At 41.8% G+C, this 24,258-nt stretch overlaps 1 protein-coding gene across 3 annotated transcripts, besides 4 other annotated features; it reads left to right on the forward strand.

The window, feature by feature from the left end:
• Positions 2,139-2,878: an enhancer, noted in NCBI's record as "H3K27ac hESC enhancer chr11:60258497-60259236 (GRCh37/hg19 assembly coordinates)". NCBI's record gives its function as "activates a minimal SCP1, AML or CMV promoter by ChIP-STARR-seq in naive H9 embryonic stem cells {active_cell/tissue: H9 hESC(naive)}" and the evidence as "EXISTENCE:reporter gene assay evidence [ECO:0000049][PMID:30033119]".
• Positions 2,879-3,616: an enhancer, noted in NCBI's record as "NANOG-H3K27ac hESC enhancer chr11:60259237-60259974 (GRCh37/hg19 assembly coordinates)". NCBI's record gives its function as "activates a minimal SCP1, AML or CMV promoter by ChIP-STARR-seq in naive H9 embryonic stem cells {active_cell/tissue: H9 hESC(naive)}" and the evidence as "EXISTENCE:reporter gene assay evidence [ECO:0000049][PMID:30033119]".
• Positions 3,893-18,545, forward strand: MS4A12 (membrane spanning 4-domains A12). Of its 3 annotated transcripts, XM_011545117.3 has the most exons (8): positions 3,893-3,943; positions 4,035-4,147; positions 8,428-8,709; positions 12,160-12,297; positions 13,098-13,154; positions 14,816-14,932; positions 17,843-17,953; positions 18,135-18,545. In XM_011545117.3, the coding sequence occupies exons 3-8, from the start codon at positions 8,434-8,436 to the stop codon at positions 18,237-18,239; spliced, it is 804 nt and encodes a 267-aa protein (XP_011543419.1). In that variant the 5' UTR covers positions 3,893-3,943; positions 4,035-4,147; positions 8,428-8,433; the 3' UTR covers positions 18,240-18,545. The 3 variants fall into 3 exon arrangements, with proteins under 3 accessions (XP_011543419.1, NP_060186.2, NP_001157942.1); NM_017716.3 differs by lacking the exon at positions 4,035-4,147; NM_001164470.2 differs by lacking the exons at positions 4,035-4,147; positions 12,160-12,297.
• Positions 10,076-10,345: an enhancer, noted in NCBI's record as "active region_4771". NCBI's record gives its function as "activates an Ori minimal core promoter by ATAC-STARR-seq in GM12878 lymphoblastoid cells {active_cell/tissue: GM12878}" and the evidence as "EXISTENCE:reporter gene assay evidence [ECO:0000049][PMID:35858748]".
• Positions 10,356-10,485: an enhancer, noted in NCBI's record as "active region_4772". NCBI's record gives its function as "activates an Ori minimal core promoter by ATAC-STARR-seq in GM12878 lymphoblastoid cells {active_cell/tissue: GM12878}" and the evidence as "EXISTENCE:reporter gene assay evidence [ECO:0000049][PMID:35858748]".
• Positions 18,546-24,258: the final 5,713 nt, after the last annotated feature.

The following is a 24,258-nucleotide window of genomic DNA, read 5'->3' on the forward strand; positions in this document are numbered from 1 at the left end:
TGGAAGAGCCAAAAGCTATGTGTAATAGTGATTATAATAGTTGTGGATCGTTGTCAGATTTGTAATTCTTTTCTGTTTTCCCATGTTGAGATGACATTTATTAAAACAATTTTATGCCTACAGATTCTAATGAAAACTCTGGGCTTGAATTATTGTCTATCTTATTTTCCTAGTTGTTTATTTTTATTATATTTTACAAATGTGTTGGTCCACAATAAATTGAAAATTTTAATGGAAAAAATGGCCTTTCTCCACAGACTGTAAAGCATTCAGCTTTACGAGCATGTTCCTAAGCTAGGGATACAAAAGAGATTATGAAATGGTACTATAACTCCTGCCCTTAGAAGTTAGAGCATGTTTGAAGAAATCACAAATCAGAACACAACATAGAAGAATCACACTGTTAATGGCACTAACCACATGATTACAGGAGAGAACAGTGCAGAAGTCTTACCAAGATTTGCTGCATGGAGATGGGTCTGAAAGGCCAACAGGAGAAGGAAGGGGATTCTAGGTTTAAAAGACACTATTTCTTTTTTCTTTTTTTATTTTTTATTTTATTTTATTTTTTTGAGAGGGAGTCTCGCTGTGTCACCCAGGCTGGAGTGCAGTGGCGCAATCTCGGCTCACTCCAACCTCCGCCTCCCAGGTTCAAGTGATTCTCCTGCTGCAGCCTCCCAAGTAGCTGGGATTACAGGCGTGTGCCACCACACTCAGCTAATTTTTGTATGTTAGTAGAGATGGGGTTTCACCATGTTGGCCAGGCTGCTCTCAAACTCCTGATCTCAAGTGATCCACCCACCTCAGCCTCCCAAAGTGCTGGGATTACAGGCGTGAGCCACTGTGCCCAGCCTGACATTATTTATTTTCAACTTTCTCTTCCTGCTGCCTGGATAACATGAATAAGGTTGATCATGTTATACCTTTCCAGACAGTAATCATGATTCTGTGGGCTTTCAAAAACAATGCTTACTTCATTTTCCTTTAAATACCTTCAAGCCTTTCAGCAATATTATTGCCTGAAATTGTCATTTTCTTAAGCTCATAACATTAATAAATCTTCAGCATCTTTTTTCTATTTTAGAAAAATATATAAAAATGTAAACCCACAAGAGAAAGAAAACTCTCAATAATACACAAAAAAAGAAAAAAGAATCTGCACTCATGCCACCAACTCTTTTAATGTATATTTAATGAGCCTTAACATGTGTGAGACACTGTGCCATACATGGAGTTGGAGGTGGGGATAGATATCAGCCCCTGCCCCAAGGATCTCTGGTCTCAAGGTACTCATTTGTACCTGAGATACAACCTAAAATAAATAACTGGAATGTGACAGGACACTTCCAAAAAATAAAACAGCACGCCACTATTAAGAATTACAATAAATAGGCCAGGTGCGGTGGCTCACACCTGTAATCCAGCACTTTGGGGGGCCTAGGCGGGCATATCACAAGGTCAGGAGATCGAGACCGTCCTGGCTAACATGGTGAAACCCCGTCTCTACTAAAAATACAAAATATTAGCCGGGCATGGTGGCGGGCGCCTGTAGTCCCAGCCACTCCGGAGGCTGAGGCAGGAGAATGGTGTGAACCCGGGAGGCAGAGCTTGCAGTGAGCCGAGATCGCGCCACTGCACTCCAGCCTGGGTGACAGAGCAAGACTCCATCTCAAAAAAAAAAAAAAAAAAGAACTACAATAAATATGTTTATCGACATGAAAAGATATTTATAGGACATTAAGCTTAAAAGCAGGTTATGAAGTATATATACATTATGATCCTAACTTGATTTTACTATGTAAAATACATACATGCGCACACAAAAGTTTACAAATCAAAATGCAAATACTATCATTAATTATGTCTGCGTGGTGAGATTGAGTGCTTTTTCTCTCCTTTTTTTATTATCTGCATTTTCCAATTTTGTCCACCTAATTTAAAAGGCATTAAAATGCAGTATGGCTCTCCCTCTCCCTCTCCCTGTCCCTCTCCCTGTCCCTCTCCCTCTCCCTCTCCCTCTCCCTCTCCCTCCCTCTCCCCCTCCCCATGGTCTCCCTCTCCCTCTCTTTCCACGGTTTCCCTCTGATGCCGAGCCGAAGCTGGACTGTACTGCCACCATCTCGGCTCACTGCAACCTCCCTGCCTGATTCTCCTGACTCAGCCTGCCGAGTCGCCACGCCTGACTGGTTTTCGTATTTTTTTGGTGGAGATGGGGTTTCGCTGTGTTGGCCGGTTTGGTCTCCGGCTCCTAACCGCGAGTGATCCACCAGCCTCAGCCTCCCGAGGTGCCGGGATTGTATACGGAGTCTCGTTCACTCAGTGCTCAATGTTGCCCAGGCTGGAGTGCAGTGGCGTGATCTCAGCTAGCTACAACCTCCACCTCCCAGCCGCCTGCCTTGGCCTCCCAAAGTGCCGAGATTACAGCCTCTGCCCGGCCGCCACCCCGTCTGGGAAGTGAGGAGCGTCTCTGCCTGGCCGCCCATTGTCTGGGATTTGAGGAGCCCCTCTGCCTGGCTGCCCAGTCTGGGAAGTGAGGAGCGCCTCTTCCCGGCCACCATCCCGTCCAAGAAGTGAGGAGCGTCTCTGCCCAGCCGCCCATCGTCTGAGATGTGGGGAGCGCCTCTGCCCTGCCACCCCGTCAAGGATGTGAGGAGCGCCTCTGCCCAGTGGCGACCCCGTCTGGGAGGTGAGGAGTGTCTCTGCCCGGCCGCCCAGTCTGAGAAGTGAGGAGCCCCTCCGCCCAGCAGCCGCCCTGTCTGAGAAGTGAGGAGCCCCTCCGCCCAGCAGCCGCCCCGTCTGAGAAGTGAGGAGCGTCTCCGCCTGGCAGCCACCCCGTCCAGGAGGAAGGTGGGGGGCCAGTCCCCGCCCAGCGAGCCGCCCCGTCCGGGAGGGAGGTGGGGGGGTCAGCCCCCGCCCGGCCAGCCGCCCCCTCCGGGAGGGAGGTGGGGGGCGCCTCCGCCCAGCCGCCCCTTCTGGGAAGTGAGGAGCCCCTCTGCCTGGCCATCACCCCGTCTGGGAGGTGTACCCAACAGCTCATTGAGAACGGGCCATGATGACGATGGCGGTTTTGTGGAATAGAAAAGGGGGAAAGGTGGGGAAAAGATAGAGAAATCAGATTGTTGCTGTGTCTGTGTAGAAAGAAGTAGACATGGGAGATTTCATTTTGTTCTGTACTAAGAAAAATTCTTCTGCCTTGGGATGCTGTTGATCTATGACCTTACCCCCAACCCTGTGCTCTCTGAAACATGTGCTGTGTCCACTCAGGGTTCAATGGATTAAGGGCGGTGCAAGATGTGCTTTGTTAAACAGATGCTTGAAGGCAGCATGCTCGTTAAGAGTCATCACCACTCCCTAATCTCAAGTACCCAGGGACAAAAACACTGCGGAAGGCCGCAGGGTCCTCTGCCTAGGAAAGCCAGAGACCTTTGTTCACTTGTTTATCTGCTGACCTTCCCTTCACTATTGTCCTATGACCCTGCCAAATCCCCCTCTGTGAGAAACACCCAAGAATGATCAATAAAAAAAAAAAAGAGACTATAAACATAATTTGAGTGTTTAGAAATTTAAAAATAAAATCCCAGTAAAAAAAATAAATAAATAAAAATAAAAATAAAAAAATGCAGTATGATATTGCAATGATTGAGCATTAGAAAGCTGGAGAAAATAAATACTAAAGTGTTTGGGAGGGTCACAATAGGCTTCCCAGTAAAAATTAGAGGAGGATGTGAAAGCACAGCGTATTCCAAACTTTACAGTTGCATTTACATCTCTTGAGGTGAAAGAGAAATAACCATAAAAGGACTCTGGAACTACATAAAGATACAAGACAAATTGGTTTGGAGAACGGAAATAAAATCTACCTATAAAATCCAGGTAAATATCTGATACTGGCACACAGGTTGGAGCAGAGAAAGAGGAAACATAGAGGTGCCAAAGGAACAAAGTAAGTCCATTGATACGTTCTTGCCTATCTCTCCTCCAAATCAATGGGCACAAACTGTGGCTGGTCTACCTGTGTGGGTTCTGTTCTCTAGATTGGAGGGATGAAGACAAGTTCTTGACTCTATGTTGAGGCCAGTTGAAAAATGAGGGAGAATAAAACCATGAACGAAACAAGAAAGAAACAAAACAGAAGAGGAATGAAAAAGTAAGTTGGTTGCTGTACAAGAGATAAAACGGACTGCAAAAAGAAAAAAAAAGCTAATGCTCGCTGGGTGCGGTGGCTCACACCTGTAAACCCAGCTCTTTGGGAGGCCGAGGCAGGAGAATCACCTGAGGTCAGGAGTTCGAGACCAGCCTGCCTAACATGGTGAAACCCCATCTCCACTAAAAATACAAAAATTAGCTGGGCGTAGTGGCAGGTGCCTGTAATCCCAGCTACTCGGGGGGCTGAGGCAGGAGAATCACGTGAACTCGGGAGGCGGAGGTTGCAGTGAGCCGAGATCGCTCCATTGCACTCCAGCCTGGGTGACAAGAGTGAAACTCCATCTTAAAAAAAAAAAAAAAAAAAGCTAATGCTAAGAAAGGTGAATAATAGGTTCAACTGTATGCCATTCCATGAACATGGGCCCAAAAGGACGAGGCCATGCCCCACTGGGCACTTGATGATTATGTGGCTACCACAGGGACAACATAGAACACAGAAGTAATACTGGAGCCCTTGGCTTTGTAACACATTTTAATTAAGGTACTTCTTTCTGACAAGAAAACAATTAAAATTAAAATAGGTAGGGAAAGAACATTCATTTTCACCAGATCAGCATTTTGTGAAAGGTGATATAAGTGTATACCTGTGGATGTACTGGGTGATTTTGTGAAAATGATTCGGTTTCATGTTTTGCTTTATGCTATAAAGTACTCTTGAAAATAATAATCATCTTCACTCTGTCAAAAGTGAAGTTAGCATGAAAATGAGGTAGAAAGAAACTATAAAGAAGTAAATTTTTCCCATTTTTATTTGAAATAATGTAATCACAGAGCAAATTGCTGAGGTTTTCTCTAATTGCTTTAGTCTTATACTTTTGATCTCATCAGAGCTCCAATATTTTTATGTGTTCCTTGTTCTTAAAAATAATTGCAGTTGTTCTAATTCTTATTTTTAAAAAAAGGACAACTAGGGGTAAATATTTTGTCAACTGTCAAGAGAACAATCCTACTAAGTCAATAGGTGGAATCTATAAAAGGAGTCTATTTATTAGTTTCCCTTCTCATGTATCATTTACAGAATTGTCTTCATTTCAATTGAATAATTAAAGAATCAGAACTGGCTGGCTCTGTCTTTAATTCCTTTTATAAAACCAGAACTTGACCCAGTAAAAATGTATTCTGAGTCCTAATAACTATAGACCTAGCCATGAATAATCTGGGTTCTATGTGAAATTTACAGATCTTAGTCCAGAAACTAAACAGCAGATATGAAAGGAGAAACTGTTGATAAATAAATGAAAAGTATTGAGTTTTCCTCATAAAATTTCTCGAGACAAAAAAAAAGCAATGATCAACAGCAAAGGAGAATGTAATGAAATCATATACATGCAGAAACGTGGACAATTCTTTAATTGTATGCTTTTTAAAAGCTCAAAAAAATTCTTGTTCTGGTTAATTACTGTACTCTGAGTACCCATCTCCTATTTCTTTGCTCTTGAAATTGACCCTGTTCAATTCCTTTTATAAACTTTTCCTATGGCCACATCCACTGCCTAAAACAAGATAGAATACCTTGGGATCTAATAATAAAATAATAGTTCCTTTTTAAGCTCTTGCCATGTGCTAGGCACTGTTCCAACAGTTTTGCATAAATTAGGATAATTTGAACTTTAGACTAGCCTCCTTAGGTACCTTCTGTCATTTTACAGTTGAGACATAGGAACTAACAGGGATTTCATTAAGAAACTTGCTTAAAGTCCCAGACTTAGTGAAGTAGCAGATTGAAGATTAGAAAAGAGGGCTTGAGCAATATTTGGCCACCGAAACCAGATCCATAGGATGTATAACCTCACATTCTCAAATGCTATTGAGAGTTACGTGGTGTTACTCCAAGAGTCACAGCTATGGACTTGTTTCCTTTTTCCTTGTTTAAAATAAACTTTTGTGGGCTCAAATGTGTTTACATTTTTTTTTTTTTTGAGATGGAGTCTCGCTCTGTCACCCAGGTTGGAGTGCAGTGGCACGATCTCGGCTCACTGCAAGCTCCACCTCCCGGGTTCACACCATTCTCCTGCCTCAGCCTCCCATGTAGCTGGGACTACAGGCGACCACCACTACACCCGGCTAATTTTTTTTTTTTTTTTGTATTTTTAGTAGAGACGGGGTTTCACCATGTTAGCCAGGATGGTCTCGATCTCCTGACCTCGGGATCTGCCCGCCTCGGCCTCCTAAAGTGCTGGATGTGTTTCCATTTTGAAAAAAAAAATTCCTCTGTAATCAGATATTTCAGAAAGATGTTTTCTCCCTTTTCATTGAGTTTTCAACCATTTTCAGTTGCATCTAGTATCGGAGGGTAAGGGTTATGAGTACAGGTTCTGGATTAAATTCTCTCATTGTGAAATGGGGATTTTAGTAGAGTACCTATCTCATGGGGTTCTGTAAAGGGTACAGAGATAATGTATCTCATGCACTTAACATAGAAATAATAATAGAGCCAACCCTGTAATCGGCACAATTCCACATACTTTGCAGAGAATAACTCTTTAATACTCAAACTGACTCTCTAAGGAAGGTAGTCTTATTAGCTCTATTTTACAGACAGAAAACAAAGGCAAAGAGAGGTTAACAAACTTGCCAAAGACACAAAGTTGGAGTTAGATCCCAAGTTCATGTTCCTAAACATGACACTATACAGACCCTACTGTGCCTATAATAAGTCTTTAATAAATGTTAGCTCTCTATACACCTCACCTAAAGCTTGCTAAAGAGAATCCTTACTAACTCACTCAATCACAAAGAAGTTAATCCGGTTTATAAACTCCTCTCCATGGCATCAGAAGACAGAAGTTTTGTTGTTGGGTAGTTGCAGGAGCAGAGTCAATACCCTGTCACCAAGGCTGGCCTGGAAAACAAGCTGCAAATGTCCAGAGTGATGCTGCATGGAGGGGGATTCTGAACCAACAGCCAAGAATCCCATTTTCAAGTCCTAACTCTGCCACATGTTTTCTGTGTAACCTTGAGCATGTCACTTAACGACTCAGCTTCAATTTCTCATCTGTAAATCAAGGGGAATGAGACAGGATAAATGGAAAGGGTCTTTTCTACCCTAAAATTTCTGGATTCTATGAGCACAGGGTCTGCATATGTGTCCTTGTTAGATACCAGTGATACATTGTACCAATAGGTTATTCATAGTATTCATACTTCATACCAAGAATGAGACATTCATCACTCTAACTTTCTTGATATTCATAAGCACAAGAAAATTGTTGTGCTTTTGAAGACCTCAAAAAAAGGAATCTAAGGCTAAAGACAAATTTTTTAAGTGTCATAATTTTTTTCAAGAATTAATAGTCATTGTTGTCCATATTCAGTTGTACTGGCTTATTTCCAACAAAATTTCCCTTGCCTACATGGGGCCTGAGATGCTCTAAGCTTTCAGAAGGACAGAAATGAATAAAAGCATTTTTCCTAAAGAACAGAAGAATCATCTTAAGTGGGCATATGTGAACTATCTAGTTTCCCAATTACTGGCAAACAATTTTAATCTTGGACTGCCCTCCTTGCCATACAAGTATTGTATTACTTGGCCCCTGTATTAGTTTTCTATTTGTTGATATAACAAACTACCACAAATGTAGTGGCTTAAAACAATATAATTTTTTTATCTGACAGTTCTGTAGGTCAGAATTCCAATACCAGCTCACTAGACTAAGTTCAAGGTGTCAGCAGAGTCATGTTCCTTCCTGGAGACTCTAGGGAAGAATCTGTTTCCTTGTTTCATCCAGCTTCTAGAGGCGACCCATACACCTTGGTTCATGGACGCCTTCCTCCAACTTCACAGTTGGCAGCATAGCATCTCTCTAATGAGGGATGGTTTCAGGATGAAACTATTCCACCTCAGGTCATCAGGAATTAGAGTCTCATAAGGAGCATGCAACCTAGATCCCCAACATGTGCAGTTCACAGTAGGGTTCATGCTGCTATGAGAATCCAATGCCATGCTGGTCTGATAGGAGGCAGAGCTCAGGCAGTAATGCTTGCCTGCTGCTTACCTCATGTAGTGCAGCCAGGTTTCCAACAGACCACAGACAGGTACCAGTCCTTGGCGTGGGGGTTGGGGACTTATGAGAATCATGTTTCTATCAGTTGTTATGGCCCATTATCTGCTCACTTGTTCTCTCCATTTGCATAGATAATTGACATTTGACATTTGGTAAGATTTTCTTTAGTTTCTTTTCTGGATAAACGTATCACTTTTGTATGTTTTGTGATACTTAGGACATAATGATGTCATCCAAGCCAACAAGCCATGCTGAAGTAAATGAAACCATACCCAACCCTTACCCACCAAGCAGCTTTATGGCTCCTGGATTTCAACAGCCTCTGGGTTCAATCAACTTAGAAAACCAAGCTCAGGGTGCTCAGCGTGCTCAGCCCTACGGCATCACATCTCCGGGAATCTTTGCTAGCAGTCAACCGGGTCAAGGAAATATACAAATGATAAATCCAAGTGTGGGAACAGCAGTAATGAACTTTAAAGAAGAAGCAAAGGCACTAGGGGTAAGTCTATTTACTACCAGAATTTTAATTTCACATTTGCAAGGTCTTCTTATAAGTTATAGGAGAGTATCATCCAATTGCTAAAAAGTTCTGAACGTTATTCTGAAATTATCTCTTTTAGACAGAAATATTTAGTCTGCCTATAGACTTTCCCTTGAGTTCATTTCATTTTAGATCAAGCAAAAATATAACAAGACACAGAGGAGCCTCCCTAGCTGGAGAATTTGGTAATATTGACGTGACAGAAGCACTGTTACATCTAGCTTGATCTCATTTCTTCAAAGGACTTTTTGGACAATCTCAATCCCATCTCTGGATTAGTTACAAGTCTGGTTTTTGCATAAAGGTGAATTTACATAACAATGAACAATGATGGCTGCCCCCAGAAAAGGAAACTACAAATGGGCAGTCTGGGAAAGGCTGAGTGTGAAAGAATTGGGGGACATTCCATCTGCTATGCCTCTTTCACCAATACCCTTAGAGATGCTACAGTTTAACTGTCACCTTACTTCTACAAAGGAGACTCTGAACTGACTGCCTTGTTTCTGTAGGCATTGTAAAAACAAAAATGCCCTACTTGTAAGAAAATTCCACCTGCCTAGGTAGAATTGTTAGTCCCTTCTCCGTGCTTTCCAAATACATCATTCATCCCGCTAGCACAATTCCACCAAATTATATTAAGTCTCTCCCTGTGAATAGCTCAAAATGCTCTGCTGGAGCATTCCGTAAATGAATGCTCATTATGTGCCAGAAACTCTTCTAGCCATCTTACTATGTATTTCAAGTTGTGATGTTTTAGGGAAGTAAAAATGAGCATAAGTTCTCCTGCAGCAGCCTATTTACTAAGCTGTGGAGGTGGCCCTTCTGATCCTCCTCCTCCCAGATAGAGGAAATTCCCTGCTCCTAATAAGCCAATGGGACAAACTAACACCCCATACAGCCAGCCCCACACAGGTGCTTGGAATATCATTAAGCACAAAGGAGGTGCAATCTCTGCCCTCACAGAACTTACGCCCTAGAGGGGGAAATCAGACTGTATACATAATAAGGAAGTAAAGTACTTAGTGTGTTAGAAGGTGTCGAATGATATAGACAAAACAAAGAAGTGTAAAAGGGCTAAAAAGTACTAGGCAGTGAGGAGGCAGCAATTTCAAGGTGGTCAGAATGGGCTTTCCTTAGAACATGACATTTGAGCAAAAACCTGAAGTTAGGAGTGAGCCCTGCAGATATTAGGGAAAGAGAAAACAACCAGTGTAAAAGTCTTTAGATGAAAATGTCTTTGAGGTATTTGAAGAACCGGGAGGAGGCCAATAAAATAGAACAGAATGAGTGAGGGAGGGGGCAGTTGTCAGGAGGGCAGATGAGTGGCAGAGGCCACAGGTGGTGAGGCCTGCAGAGCAGAAGGCTTTGGCTTTGACTGGGTGGATGAGGAACCACTGAAGCATGCTGCCCGGCACCGAAGAGGCGTGTGATAAAAATACTTTAAAAGAATGTGAAGTTTTGTTTTCAAAATCTCCAGTTGGCAGAAGCTACTTCCTCTCTCTGAAGATTTGTTATTTCTATGCCATCAGCAGGCCCTGGGCATCATGACAGTGCAGGGGCCACAGGTGGCAGGACTTGGCACACCTGTACCAGTCAACTCAGACCTTAAAGTGCTTCTGTGGCCAAAAATGCAGACAAATTGTATGTCCAAATTTTTAAGTCTGTCCTATAGGCAATTTTGATCAGTAGATGGTACAGCCAGGGCTGTAGGAGGAGAAATGAGGGCCAGTACAAATCCAGATCTAACTGCCCCTCATCAAGGTGACAGCAAGGATGAGAATGGGAAGTTTGTGACCAGACGGCTGAATTGCTGCTCTAAAGAACAGTTGTAAAAACCAAATATAAAGTCTAATACAGGAGTTCTTTAAGTGAGATAGGCTAAACGTGGCCCATCATCTCTCTGAAGCTATAAGCAAAAGTATGGTATGTGTGTGTATGAATGTGCAAGAATAATTTTTCAGGGAGAAAGGTTCATGGTTTTTATTGATGTCTCAAGAAACTTTTAGCATTGTTTATGAAACTGGGTTTTTTTCTAATTTTAATTCGATTTACTTGTGTTCAGTAGCTATTTATTGAAGAAATAAATACAGCAGTCTTTGTATTTGCAGTCTCCCTGGATAGATAAGATGTAACCATGGGGAAAAATAAATTACAAATCTACAATCAAGTTTTGGACCAATCTAGAAATGATTATTCCTCAGAAATCTATCTTTATTTACAATGAAGGAAGGTTCAATAAGAGGTACAAGGAGGTAAAAGATGTATACCTTACTTTTAGTAATATATGATTGATAAGAAGAATGATTGGTAAGAAAATGATTGCATACCTGCAACTTTTTAAAAAAGGACAATATACACTTTGGGAGGCCAAGGCGGGCAGATCAAGAGGTCAGAAGATCCAGACCTTCCTGGCTAACCCGTGAAACCCCGTCTCTACTAAAAATACAAAAAGAAATTAGCCAGGCATGGTGGCGGGAGCCTGTAGTCCTAGCTACTCGGGAGGGTGAGGCAGGAGAATGGTGTGAACCCGGGAGGCGGAGCTTGCAGTGAGCCGAGATCATGCCACTGCACTCCAGCCTGGGCAATAGAGCAAGACTCTGTCTCAAAAAAAAACCAAAAAAAAACAAAAAAAAAAACAATATAAATGAATCCAAAATCAAGTAATAAGGTGTGTTTTATGTCATGAGATGCAACTGAAATTCAGAAAGAAAGAAAAAAGATTAATTTGGTGTAATCAAGAAGACTTCATGGAAAAGGTAGAGCAGAGCTGAGCATGGGGGAAGACAGTACCGAATAATTCAGACAGGCTCAGCAGTCAATGTGCTGCAGTAAATTCCCAGATCTGCCTCTTAGGAATTGTGTGACCTTGGATACCTGATATCTTTATGTCTCTGGGACTCAATCCAGTTGTAGGAGGATTACATGAAACAATAAATGTAAAGTGTTCAGAACATGACCAAGCACATAATTCATGCCTAATAAATGGTTTTATCTTCACCAATTCCTTTACCCGTAACTGGGATGACCCAAGCAGAGAACTGATCCATCTGAAAAAGCAGCTACTGACATCACAGTTAAAGTATTGTTTTTCTAATAGTCTTTTAGAGGCCCTCAGAGATGCTAATGCATGATTAAGCAGCTGTACTTTCTGAAGAATTCTTCTTGGGCCACCCCAGTAAATTCTCCAAATACCTCAAAACAGGGCGTTTCACTAAGGGCCTTGCACTCCAGTTATTCTAGTATATGTCAGAATCTTCATGACCCACCTCCTGCTTCAGATGTGTGCCTGAATGACAACGATGGATCTCAGCAAAATTGACAATAAATAAGCAGGGGCAGCAATGACAGTAATGTTTCACACGTCTGAAAGTGAAGAAGTAATTTTAAATGGCTGTTTTCTTTTTTCAGGTGATCCAGATCATGGTTGGATTGATGCACATTGGTTTTGGAATTGTTTTGTGTTTAATATCCTTCTCTTTTAGAGAAGTATTAGGTTTTGCCTCTACTGCTGTTATTGGTGGATACCCATTCTGGGGTGGCCTTTCTGTGAGTAGATTGCTAGAACACCAGTCCTTCTTGGTTTATAAAGTATTCCCTCTTGGTTTATAAAGTATTGCTATCTCCAGCCAATTCACAACTCATTTCTTGATAAAGCCCTACATCTGAGGGCTGGAGAATTTAGAAAAATTAACAGCTCTGAATGAGGGCTGGAGAATTTAGAAAAATTAACAGCTCTGAATGAGCATGAAAAAATCGGGAACTCTTTCGCCATTTTACCTAGGAGCTTATTCCATTCTTTAAAATTTAATCATGTAATCAGCAAGCCAAAGTTTTGATATCCTACTACATTTGAGATGGAAATGTATGTATTGGGTGGAGAGAGAAAGAAAAGAAAAGGTGATTGGAAACATGATTAAAAATATGCAAGTAAGCCAGGCATAGTGGTGTGTGATTGTAGTCCCAGCTACTTGGGAGGCTGAGGCCAGGGAATTGCTTGAGTTCAAGAGATGGAGGCCAGCCTGGGCAATATAGTGAGACTCAATCTCTAAAAAAATTTTTTAATTAAAAAAATGCAATTGATTATGAGAAGGGATGGAGCAGTAAGCCTCAGAACAAGGAATGCTTAAACATTGTGAGTTCTTCATAGGCCAGAAATTAAGGAAAAGAAAATAAAAAAGAAGTCAAGGACATATGACTGAGAGTTACTCCAGAAAATTCAGAAGTGCGAGAGAAAATTTTGAGAAGGAAACTAGATGAACATAAATAGACCAACCTTTCATATAAAGAGAAATTCCCAAGCACAACCAGTTAACCCATTTCACAAATAAATTTGTCCATTTCCACAGTTTATTATCTCTGGCTCTCTCTCTGTGTCAGCATCCAAGGAGCTTTCCCGTTGTCTGGTAAGTTAGACTGTCTCTACTTTTTGAACCCCTTTAAAGATTAGCTTAACATATTGGGGAGGAAAATTGAAAAGCTGGATTTGGGAAATGCAAAAGGGAGCACCTTTCCCAAAAAAAATCTATTGGTTGCCTTATGGTCTGAGCGCTGGGGTGAGAAAATGGTCCACACAGTTTGCCACTAAGAAATGGCAGAGCTCCATATCCTGACTCTTGAATTCACAAAGGTGAGAAGTAGTAAAAATCAGGGTTGTTTAAGCTTTAACCTAAAAGCTCCCTGGTTCAGTCTGGTCACACTCTATTATGGGAAGTCCAAAGGAGAATCCAGGAGCCAGGAAATACATACTAGACACATCAGTTACCAAGTCTCTACTGTTCATTTGCCACTTCTCAGCTCTGTCTTGTATTTTTATTTTTTTATTTGTGCTATTTCCTACTCTTACACAGGTTGTGTGTTTTACAATTCTTTAAATTGCCATTAAATGAGTCTAGCTTGTTCTGTAAGAAGAGTTTATAAAAATGATGAGTAAGACAGGACTTTGAGCTCTGTCGGTCACAGCACCCCACCTATTCCAATTTCGTGGTCTACTATTGAACCAGGAAAAAGAAAGTGATTTATCAAGAACTAGAGTCAACTAGAGCAGAGGTGGTGTCAAGATTATATGTAATCCAGTACAAGAAAGAAGAACGGGGAAAGAGGAACACAGAATCATGTAGCTCATGCTCTTGCAGACAAAAGAAGAATAAAATAATTAAATCAAATTAAAATAAAATAAGCCTAATTCTGATTAACCACTCCTGTTGCAGTCCAAAAACAAAATAAAGCACCCTTTCTCTGCATCTTTTAAGGATCCTTCCGTCTAATTGAGATTGTCGAAGCATAGATTCCACCTCTTAGAGGAGACAGCCACTGACACATACCTAAGACAATTTTTCTAAGAGCTTTTAGAGAACTTCAGGAGGCTCTAAGGCACGCTGCAGCACAAGCACATTCTAAAGAACTCGACTGTGCCACCCCTAGCAAGTCACCTGCGGACTTGGTTTCACAATTATTCTTCTGCATGTTAAAATCCTATTGTAGAAACTGGGGAAAGTTTTGTAGTCGCCCATACACCTCTGCCCACAAAAGCCTAAATTTTCTCCTTCTAAATTTGGGGGTTCATATTTAGTCCCCAGAGAGACTTAGGGTTTTCATTAATTCCTAAATTTTTCAGCAAACATGTTGTGTCTAAATACTTTCCCATCTATAAAATCATATGCTATCGTACTACCTCATTCAAAGGCTGTAAGAGTTGAGATAATTTAAATAATTTAACACAGTGTCTGACACAGAAAAATGCTCATTAGAAGTTTGTTTTTTCATTTTTTTATAAAGAAAATATAGTTGTTATTGTGCATGAAGCTTTTAGTAAAATCCAATAGATGAGTGCCTGCTTTATATGATTTACATTTTTCTACAGCTTTTTAGAAGTACCCTACATCTAGGCTGCATACAGAATAATGTTTATGGTAATTACCCAGAAGGGCAGAAAACAGAATAATTTCAACTTGAAAAATTGTTTTGAAAGTTCAAAAATTAAGAACCATGAAATTTGATTGATTCTTATCTCACTTAACTTCAGTGATCCTGTATATAATTGATTTTTTCCTGCCATCTCCATTAGGTGAAAGGCAGCCTGGGAATGAACATTGTTAGTTCTATCTTGGCCTTCATTGGAGTGATTCTGCTGCTGGTGGATATGTGCATCAATGGGGTAGCTGGCCAAGACTACTGGGCCGTGGTAAGTATCCCATACTCCACCATGTGCCTGCTCTATTTTCAGTCCCGTAAAGTGGGTCTATGTTTTATTTCTTAATACCGTATACCAGCTCTAGTGGAAAATGTTTTTTCTATTCTAGCCCCACCCCTAGTCATATGATCTCTAGGACTATAGAATAAAGTGAGAGGGTTACCTCTACAGATAGACCGAGGCTTAAAGGACATCCTTTATTGGCCCATCTCACTGTTAATCACATGAACAATGGGGAAGGGTTTGGATAGGCCTCCATGGCTTCTAAAATTGTCCAAAAATTATTTTCCCAACATTTGAAATTCTATATAAATAAGGTAGTCAAGCTATTGAGTGTTTTTTGTTAAACTTCAGAGTAAAGTATGAAGTGAGAGGGAAATGACAGGGATAAGAACATCTGATTTTTACAGAGAAACCCAAGGAATGAAGCAATTGCAAAATGAAGCACGTATCTCTGAATGTGCTCAAAACACAATCACACATTCATTAGCCTTATATAGCCAAGCATGGACTCTGACCTTAAGAGGAAATGGGTGGCCCAAGGGCAGGAATGCTTACCATCTATAAGGAATGGAGCAACATGGTATAAAATGAGGTTGGGCTGGAAGCTGTCATCCTACCTCAATGGCCACATTAACCATTTTGGTCTTCATTCTGTGAGCAATGGAAAACCACAGAAGAGTGGTTTTATTGGTTTCATTTTATTTTATGTTGGGGTTGGTTTTGCTTTTGCTTTTCAGTTTACAAAAAGCAGAGTTTATTAAATTACTGTGGGCTACATATATCTTAAGAAAGACACAGAATGACTTCCTTATCTATCTAGAACATATTAACATTAAGACAATATCACAATATTTTGAACAAATAACCACAATAACATTTCCTTTATCAGTTCACTCAATACTGTGTAAGTAATTCTATTTCACTGGATCTCGGAGTGGCAGGCTTATGAAGCCATCTGCTTCTCAACTAAAGGGTTCTGAAATCCTGACTCCAACCATTGGTATAATCTGAAAGTTGTCTAGGCACTCCCATCAGATGCGTGTCCCCTAGAGTATGTTCTTTGAAGTGTCAGTAGTTTGAATTGCTGGCACACTCTTTTTCCACCAAGCTCTGAGACAATCCTTTGTTAAAAACATAGGAGAGTTTTAGGCCGGGAATTTGAATGATCACTTTTGTGCTTGGAAAGGACAACACTGTTTGCAGTGTAAGGAAAAGCTTATATAAGAAGGTGTATTAGTTTGTTTTCACACTGCTGATAAAGAAATACCAAAGACTGAGAAGAAAAAGGGGTTTAATGAGCTTACAGTTCCACATGGCTGGGGAGGCCTCACAATCATGGCAGAAGGCAAGGAGGAGCAAGTCACATCTTATATGGATGGGGGCAGGCAAAAAAAATAGAGCTTGTGCAGGGCAACTCCTGTTTTTTAAAACCATCAGATCTCATGAGACCCATTCACTGTCACAAGAACAGCATGGGAAAGACCCACCCCATAATTCAATCATCTCCCACCAGGTTCCTCCCACAACAAGTGGGAATTATGGGAGCTACAAGATGAGATTTGGGTGGGGACACAGAGCCAAACCGTATCAGGAGGCAAAAATAGATGAGAAAGCTTCTCGGTAAATAAGGCAGAGTGAAGCAAGAACAAAATTCACCCTCCAAAATACCAAACAAAAGAACAAAAACTATTCAAAAAAAAACAGCTTTCAAACTGGCATCCAAGTAGAGAAACAAATCATTCTGATGCTACTCAAAGCTGAAAAAAAGCACAGCTTTTAGACCTGGCTCTTGTTTCCCTACAAACAAAACTGAGGAAAGAAGGGAAGCCAAAAAAAAATACTGAGAAGTCTCACTAACACTCTCCAGTCTGTAGCTGAGAAGGCTGGGGTGGAGAGCAGTCAATTCTGTGAAAGGATAAAGCAAATCCTGTATGGTACAAGACCATGAGTAGTACCCAGGACCTCAGGAGACAGAAGAAAGGGCAACACCTTCCCATACCCTGCATGGTACCCTACTACCAGCAGGGAATGAGCAGAAATGCACAGGAATGCACAGGAATAAACCTCCAGCCAAGGAGCAGGCCTCCATACTAAGCATTTAGCAGGCTCTCAGAAGACAGAAAAAGTGAAGTCCATCCTCGCTAGCAAGAACTGTGCTCGAAGCCAGCTAAGCTATCTCTCTCCCTGCAACAGCTATATATGTTCACATTCAGAAACATGGATATAAAACAACCGCTAGGGCTCAAGTTGTAATGGAAGCAAGGAAGACAAATGGGAGCCAAATAAACAGAAGTGTCAATGAAGGAAAATTCACCTACACTGTACCTGATCAAATAGAAAGCCTGTATAGAGTTCAAGTGAGCTTAATACTTTTATTTAAAATAGAAATAACATGATTCCATTCTTATAGAATGATGCTCCTCTCTCTTGGTTATTCTCTTTTTTCCCTCTCACGGCATCTTTCCACACATCCATTCTTCTGCCTTTTCCCTGTACACAGAGAGCTAGGATAATAGTCATCAAACATTAATTTTGGTTATTTCTAAACACTGGCATTTGGAATGATCCGTTGGTTTCTGTATTGCTTGACTTTTTTAATGAGTAGTAACATTTGTATTAAAAAAAACAACGAGGCCATCACAAAGGAAAAAAACTACCTTCTTTCTAATATTTCTAAACAAAATAGCCTACTTACCAAAAGGAAAGACTTCTGGCATTTTAAAGAAAATCCAAAATAAATTCACACTCCTCTGGAACAAGCATTTGATGATACTGGAAGAATAAGCATGGAGCGAGTTGAGTATAAGCAATAGCACATTTGATGAGTCAATAACTTTTTGAAGCCCACGTGAGGCCCTCCTGATTAGCCAAAATTTCACTATTTATTTATGATTTCAGCTTTCTGGAAAAGGCATTTCAGCCACGCTGATGATCTTCTCCCTCTTGGAGTTCTTCGTAGCTTGTGCCACAGCCCATTTTGCCAACCAAGCAAACACCACAACCAATATGGTGAGTTGGGTCTCTTCTTTGTAAAATAATCTGAAAATGCCCTGGAGAAATACAGACTTGTGTCTGCTAAATCCTACTATCGGCTTACCAGAATGCTCTTTGTCCTTCACTCTGATGGTACCAGGGGAAATTGCATAGGATTGTAGTAACCATATTGCTTGTTTTTATTCATTCTTTCCAGTCTGTCCTGGTTATTCCAAATATGTATGAAAGCAACCCTGTGACACCAGCGTCTTCTTCAGCTCCTCCCAGATGCAACAACTACTCAGCTAATGCCCCTAAATAGTAAAAGAAAAAGGGGTATCAGTCTAATCTCATGGAGAAAAACTACTTGCAAAAACTTCTTAAGAAGATGTCTTTTATTGTCTACAATGATTTCTAGTCTTTAAAAACTGTGTTTGAGATTTGTTTTTAGGTTGGTCGCTAATGATGGCTGTATCTCCCTTCACTGTCTCTTCCTACATTACCACTACTACATGCTGGCAAAGGTGAAGGATCAGAGGACTGAAAAATGATTCTGCAACTCTCTTAAAGTTAGAAATGTTTCTGTTCATATTACTTTTTCCTTAATAAAATGTCATTAGAAACAAAAGCCTTTTTCAGTATGTTTAAAAAATTAATTTTGATTTGATATTGGTTGTAGAGCAGTAGATCTGATCTATACTCCAAGAAGATTGATAAACCTTTGATGATGATTTTTCTAGGTGTCCAGTCACTGGAGTTCCCTAACTCATCTCCTCCTCATCTTTCTGTTCAGAAAGCAAGTGTCCAATTGCCCTTGTTGGAGGTCATATTATTCTATACATTAATATCATCAAACATCTTGCCTCTTAACTATCATCTACAAAATTTTGCTATTTACAGAGTATTTTCATGTACATTAAACTCACCTGCAATGGGACAACAGTCAGACAGGGATGCTGCATTGAGGGGTTTTCATTTGAGTTTTGGCTTTTTGTTTTTGAATTGTTGGCACATTTATAAGCCAATTAGAACAATCAAGGTAAGACAGAAGGGATGAATGACAGTGTAAGTTTCAAGAAATCAAAAGCACAGATGGAAAACATCACCTAAGTCATGAAAAAGGGCAGTTTCTCTACAAAATAGAAAGGTATAATTATCACAGATATCCACAGCTTTGCAATAGTGGCAGTGAGGATCCGATGTGATGGCTCATGTCATCCCTGTCAAAGCAGTAGTGATGTCATGCCTAAGGTAAGGGCACAGGTAGAGTCAGAATGTTGAACAGAATGGTAACAAGGGAAAAGTCATGGAACTGGAGAATAAAGTGGTCGGAGAAACAGGATTGCCAAGCGGTACAGAAGGCACATTTGAGGATGTGGTAACAAATTCAGAGTATGGACAAATGCTTCTGCAAGGCCTTGCTGCTAGATCCAGGCAAACTACGGATCCAGGAAACTATTTGATTTTTTCCAGGGTTAAGATTTTGCTAGAGGAGATGACAAAATAGCAGAAGAGCAAGAAAGCTTAGGACATTGTAAAAAATATTATTTAAATGATGGACTGTGGAATCTAAACTGGATAAGGAAGGAATAATAGTAATAATAAAAGCAATAATAAAGAAAAAAGACAGATTGATCATAAATGGAGAAATCTGCCTTTTCTCCGGGAGCTGTCGTGACAATCAAATGAGATAATGTTATATGAATATGGTTTAAAAATAGCAAAGTATTGTCCCTTTTTGAAATTTTAATATTATTAAAGAAGCCAGAAGGGAAAAATATAACAAAAAGAGTAGGCAGAGAAATCAAAATCAGGGAAGAGGAAGATTAGAAGAACAGAATTTTTGCATCTGGGAAAGCAGATGTATTATGTCAGGCAAGAGTCACATAATTTCAACGTCATTGGTCTGCCTAGGTCCCAACTATTCAGCAACTGGGTGATTGGAAATGCTGTGTCCTTCACCATAAAGCTCAACAGCTCAGCAAAAGTGAAGACAAAGATTTCATGGTCTAAGGGTCTGGAAAATAAATGGTGCCTCAAAATGTGGGGGAGGGGATGGTATATTGTATATCTATACACGTAAAATAAACAAATATAAAAGTCACTTACTTTAGGGAACAGAAGCATTTCCAGCAAAGTTCATTTTTTAAGTAAATTTCTATCAAATATATTCTATTTTTCAAATTGCTTTAATAATAGTAATAATAACAGCATATATTTAGCCCATTCTTTGTACCACTCACGTTCCAAGCACTGTTTCAATGCTCATGACAACCACCTGTGAGGCAGGTGGATCATTTTCAGATGAAAAAACTTTGGCAGAAAAGTTAAAAATCTTGTCCTAAGATATGTAGCTAGCAAATGGTGAAGCATGGATTTGAACCCAGGCAGTATGTTTCCCAGGTCCGGGCAGTTGCCCTAACCATTATTCCCACTATTCTTATGGTCTTGGATAGAATCAGACACTTGTAATGCCAAAACAAACAGAAATGTTTCTCTATAGTAAGCTTGTAATAAATTTGGAAGACATTGCCTTATTCTCTGAGAGAGGAGATTTAGTAACATAATAATACAGTTGACACTTAAACAACATGAGTTTGAACTGCGTGGCTCCACTAATGTGCATATTTTTTCAATGTGGGAAAAGTCATGGAAACGGAGAATAAACTGATCAGAGAAACAGAGGATTACCAAGCTATACTGAGGGTACATTTGAGGGGGTTTTAGCAAATTTATACTATGAACAAATTTCTCCAGCTGGGCCTGTGATCTGAGACCCTAGAAGGTGACTGGAATAGAAATATGATATTGCCCTCTCCCTCTCCCTCCCCCTCCCCCTCCCTCATGCCCAGCCGAGGCTGGACTGTACTGCCACCATCTCGACTCACTGCCACCTCCCTGCCTGATTCTCCTGCCTCAGCCTGCCAAGTGCCTGGGATTGCAGGCATGTGCCGCCACGTCTGACTGGTTTTTGTATTTTTTGGTGGAGACCGGGTTTCGCCGTGTTGGCCGGTCTGGTCTCCAGCTCCTGACCGGGAGTGATCTGCCAGCCTCGGCCTCCCGAGGTGCCAGGATTGTAGACAGAGTCTCGCTCACTCAGTGCTCAATGCTGCCCAGGCTGGTGTGCAGTGGCGTGATCTCGGCTCGCTACAACCTCCACCTCCCAGCTGCCTGCCTTGGCCTCCCAAAGTGCTGAGATGGCAGCCTCTGCCCGGCTGCCACCCCGTCTAGGAAGTGAGGAGTGTCTCTGCCTGGCCGCCCATCATCTGGGATGTGAGGAGCCCCTCTGCCCGGCTGCCCAGTCTGGGAAGTGAGGAGCACCTCTTCCCGGCCACCATCCCGTCTAGGAAGTGAGGAGCATCTCTGCCCGGCCGCCCATCGTCTGGGATGTGGGGAGCACCTCTGCCCCGCCGCCCCGTCTGAGATGTGAAGAGCGCCTCTGCCCGGCTGCGACCCCGTCTGGGAACTGAGGAGTGTCTCTGCCCCACCGCCACCCCATCTGGGAGGTGAGGAGCGTCTCTGACCGGCCGCCCCGTCTGAGAAGTGAGGAGCCCCTCGGCCCAGCAGCCACCCCATCTGGGAAGTGAGGAGCCCCTCCGCCTGGCAGCTGCCCCGTCTGGGAAGTGAGGAGCATCTCTGCCCGGCAGCTGCCCCATCTGGGAGGTGGGGGGCAGCCCCTGCCCGGCCAGCCGCCCCGTCCGGAGGTGGGGGGCAACCCCCGCCCGGTCAGCCGCCCTGTCTGGGAGGTGGGGGCCAGCCCCCGTCCGGCCGCCGCCCCATCTGGGAGGTTGGGGGGCGCCTCTGCCTGGCCGCCCCGTCTGGGAAGTGAGGAGCCCCTCTGCCCAGCCGCCACCCCGTCTGGGAGGTGTACCAACAGCTCATTGAGAACGGGCCATGATGACGATGGCGGTTTTGTCAAATAGAAAAGGGGGAAATGTGGGGAAAAGAAAGAGAGATCAGATTGTTACTGTGTCTGTGTAGAAAGAAGTAGACATAGGAGACTCCATTGTGTTCTGTACTAAGAAAAATTCTTCTGCCTTGGGATGCTGTTAATCTATGACCTTACCCCCAACCCGGTGCTCTCTGAAACATGTGCTGTGTCCACTCAGGGTTCAATGGATTAAGGGCGGTGCAAGATGTGCTTTGTTAAACAGATGCTTGAAGGCAGCATGCTCCTTAAGAGTCATCACCACTCCCTAATCTCAAATACCCAGGGACACAAACACTGCGGAAGGCGGCAGGGCCCTCTGCCTAGGAAAACCAGAGACCTTTGTTCACATGTTTATCTGCTGACCTTCCCTCCACTATTGTCCTATGACCCTGCCAAATCCCCCTCTGCCAGAAACACCCAAGAATGATCAATAAATACTAAAAAAATAAAAATAAAAAAATAAAATAAATGAGCAGATGTACAGAAGAAAGAAAAAAAAAGAAATATGATATTGCAACATAGAGGTCACATGCCTGCTGTGGTATTATTTAAAGCCCTTATGGTATTTTCATTCTGGAAAATCTTTTTTAAATGTTCATTTTTTTCATTCATTTGCTTAAAAAGAAGTATTACACTACTACTTTGTGATGAAAACTCTGCTATTCCATCAAATTTAGGCTTTACATATTTTTTCATGTAGGGTAATATAAAATGAAATGGAGTAGGATTTATCTAGATGTCAGCGAACACATGCTTTTTTCATGCACAATTAACGCTGGATTTGCATACAGAGACTTTGCCTACGAAATATAACTTAAGCTACACACACACATACACATTACACACACATCTCAAGTACTTCCTATATTTAGTCTCTTCCGTCCTCAGAAGAGCACAGATCATTATTAGATCTCTAGGCCTCTAGGGTGTCTTCTAATTCTAGATTCTAAGGCTTTACAGAAGGTCGGTCGATCATTCATCATGAAACACATGGGCTCAAGAATAATCTTTCAAGAATCTATAAATATATCTTAGATAAACATGTGTCATTGATTCATGCCTGGCCAAAACAAAATTTCTGAAAGCTCTCTATCCCAGAACATCTTTGCATTTGTCACAACCCTCTAATAATCAATCACAATTGTCCCCTTTTCCCACAGAGCAGATGCTGGCCAAACCTACCCTGAGTTTGGACAACTGGGGGTGGGGTGCAGAGTCCCTAGGCATCTATTTGCAGGGGTGATTTGCATCAAGGAAAATATGCCACAGAAATTTTGAGTTCAGGTATCTGATACTCAAGCTGAAAGATCAGAATCCAGTAGCCAGCCTCACCTAGGTGACCAGGTCTAATCCCTATGGAGAAAGGGCTGTGCTCCTCACTTGTGCATGGACTATAACCAGGCTCCTTCTCTGTAAGGAAGACTGAAGATGATGCAAGGCTGTTTGAACACCTCCAGGGCTCTGATGCTTGGGGAGCCCTGGGAGACAGCATCTGGGGTAAGGCAGCCTTCTCCCAGAGAAGCTGCAGCAAGGCCTGAGAAGACTACAGTGTATCTGGAAAGTGGCTGCCCCATATACTCAGCAACAGCTCAGCCAATGCCTGCTGGAGAACAAATGTGAAAATTCTGGGGACTCCCAGAAATGCTCTGGAAATTGGGATTTGCAGATAAGTGGGGTCATTCTTCAACAGATGGGGGTGGAAACCAGGCCACCTGGGCCATAAGGCTAACATGTCTTGCTAATTCCCACAGGCTGGAGAGGCCTTGGATATCAGTGTTTTCCTAAAACTTGCTGCTTTCTGCCTTTTTCTCTTCATTTTGCATTTAAAACAAACCAAGCAAATTTATAATTTATAACTGTTCTCTCTTTTCTCCTAGCTCTCCTCCTCTCCCTCAGTTCTCTGGTTTCACTCTTATAAACAAATTGCTGTTACTAAATTCTAGCAGCCTAGCAGTGCTCAACGGGCTTCATTCAAACTCTTTCTCCACACACACACCACAGGGGTCTCTATTTCATTTAGGTCTCACTCACAATTTCACTTTATATTTCACAACTCTTCCTACTCTCCCAAGTATTTGGCAACGCTTAAGGATATGGTATGGACTTTTAGGCCAAATGTCATTTCATATATTTATACAATGCTACAATGTGTACTTCAAGACCCTAATTTTACAGATGAGAAATGAATTCAAAGAGTAGAGGAGTGGAGTACACACAGCCAGAACTGGAGCTGGAAACCATCCCTAGATCTTGTGATTGCTTCAACAATATTCTTTATGCAATTCCATGACAGTCACAACATAGAGCTCTTTCTGAAGGAGACTTAGAGGAAGAAAAGTGGGTAGGAGGATGGGCTACAAATTCTGGAGCTAGACTTACACTGCTGGAGTTAGAATCTCAACTCTTAACA

The sequence above is a fragment of the Homo sapiens genome, chromosome 11 (assembly GCF_000001405.40).
Source record: "Homo sapiens chromosome 11, GRCh38.p14 Primary Assembly".
NCBI lineage: Eukaryota > Metazoa > Chordata > Mammalia > Primates > Hominidae > Homo > Homo sapiens.

Excerpts from the sequence above, each read along its gene's own strand:
- MS4A12 (XM_011545117.3), top strand. The coding sequence starts at position 8,434 with ATGATGTCATCCAAGCCAACAAGCCATGCTGAAGTAAATGAAACCATA. Across the intron at positions 14,933-17,842 it reads GCCAAGACTACTGGGCCGTG|CTTTCTGGAAAAGGCATTTC; the intron begins GTAAGTATCCCA and ends TTATGATTTCAG. Across the intron at positions 17,954-18,134 it reads CAAACACCACAACCAATATG|TCTGTCCTGGTTATTCCAAA; the intron begins GTGAGTTGGGTC and ends CATTCTTTCCAG.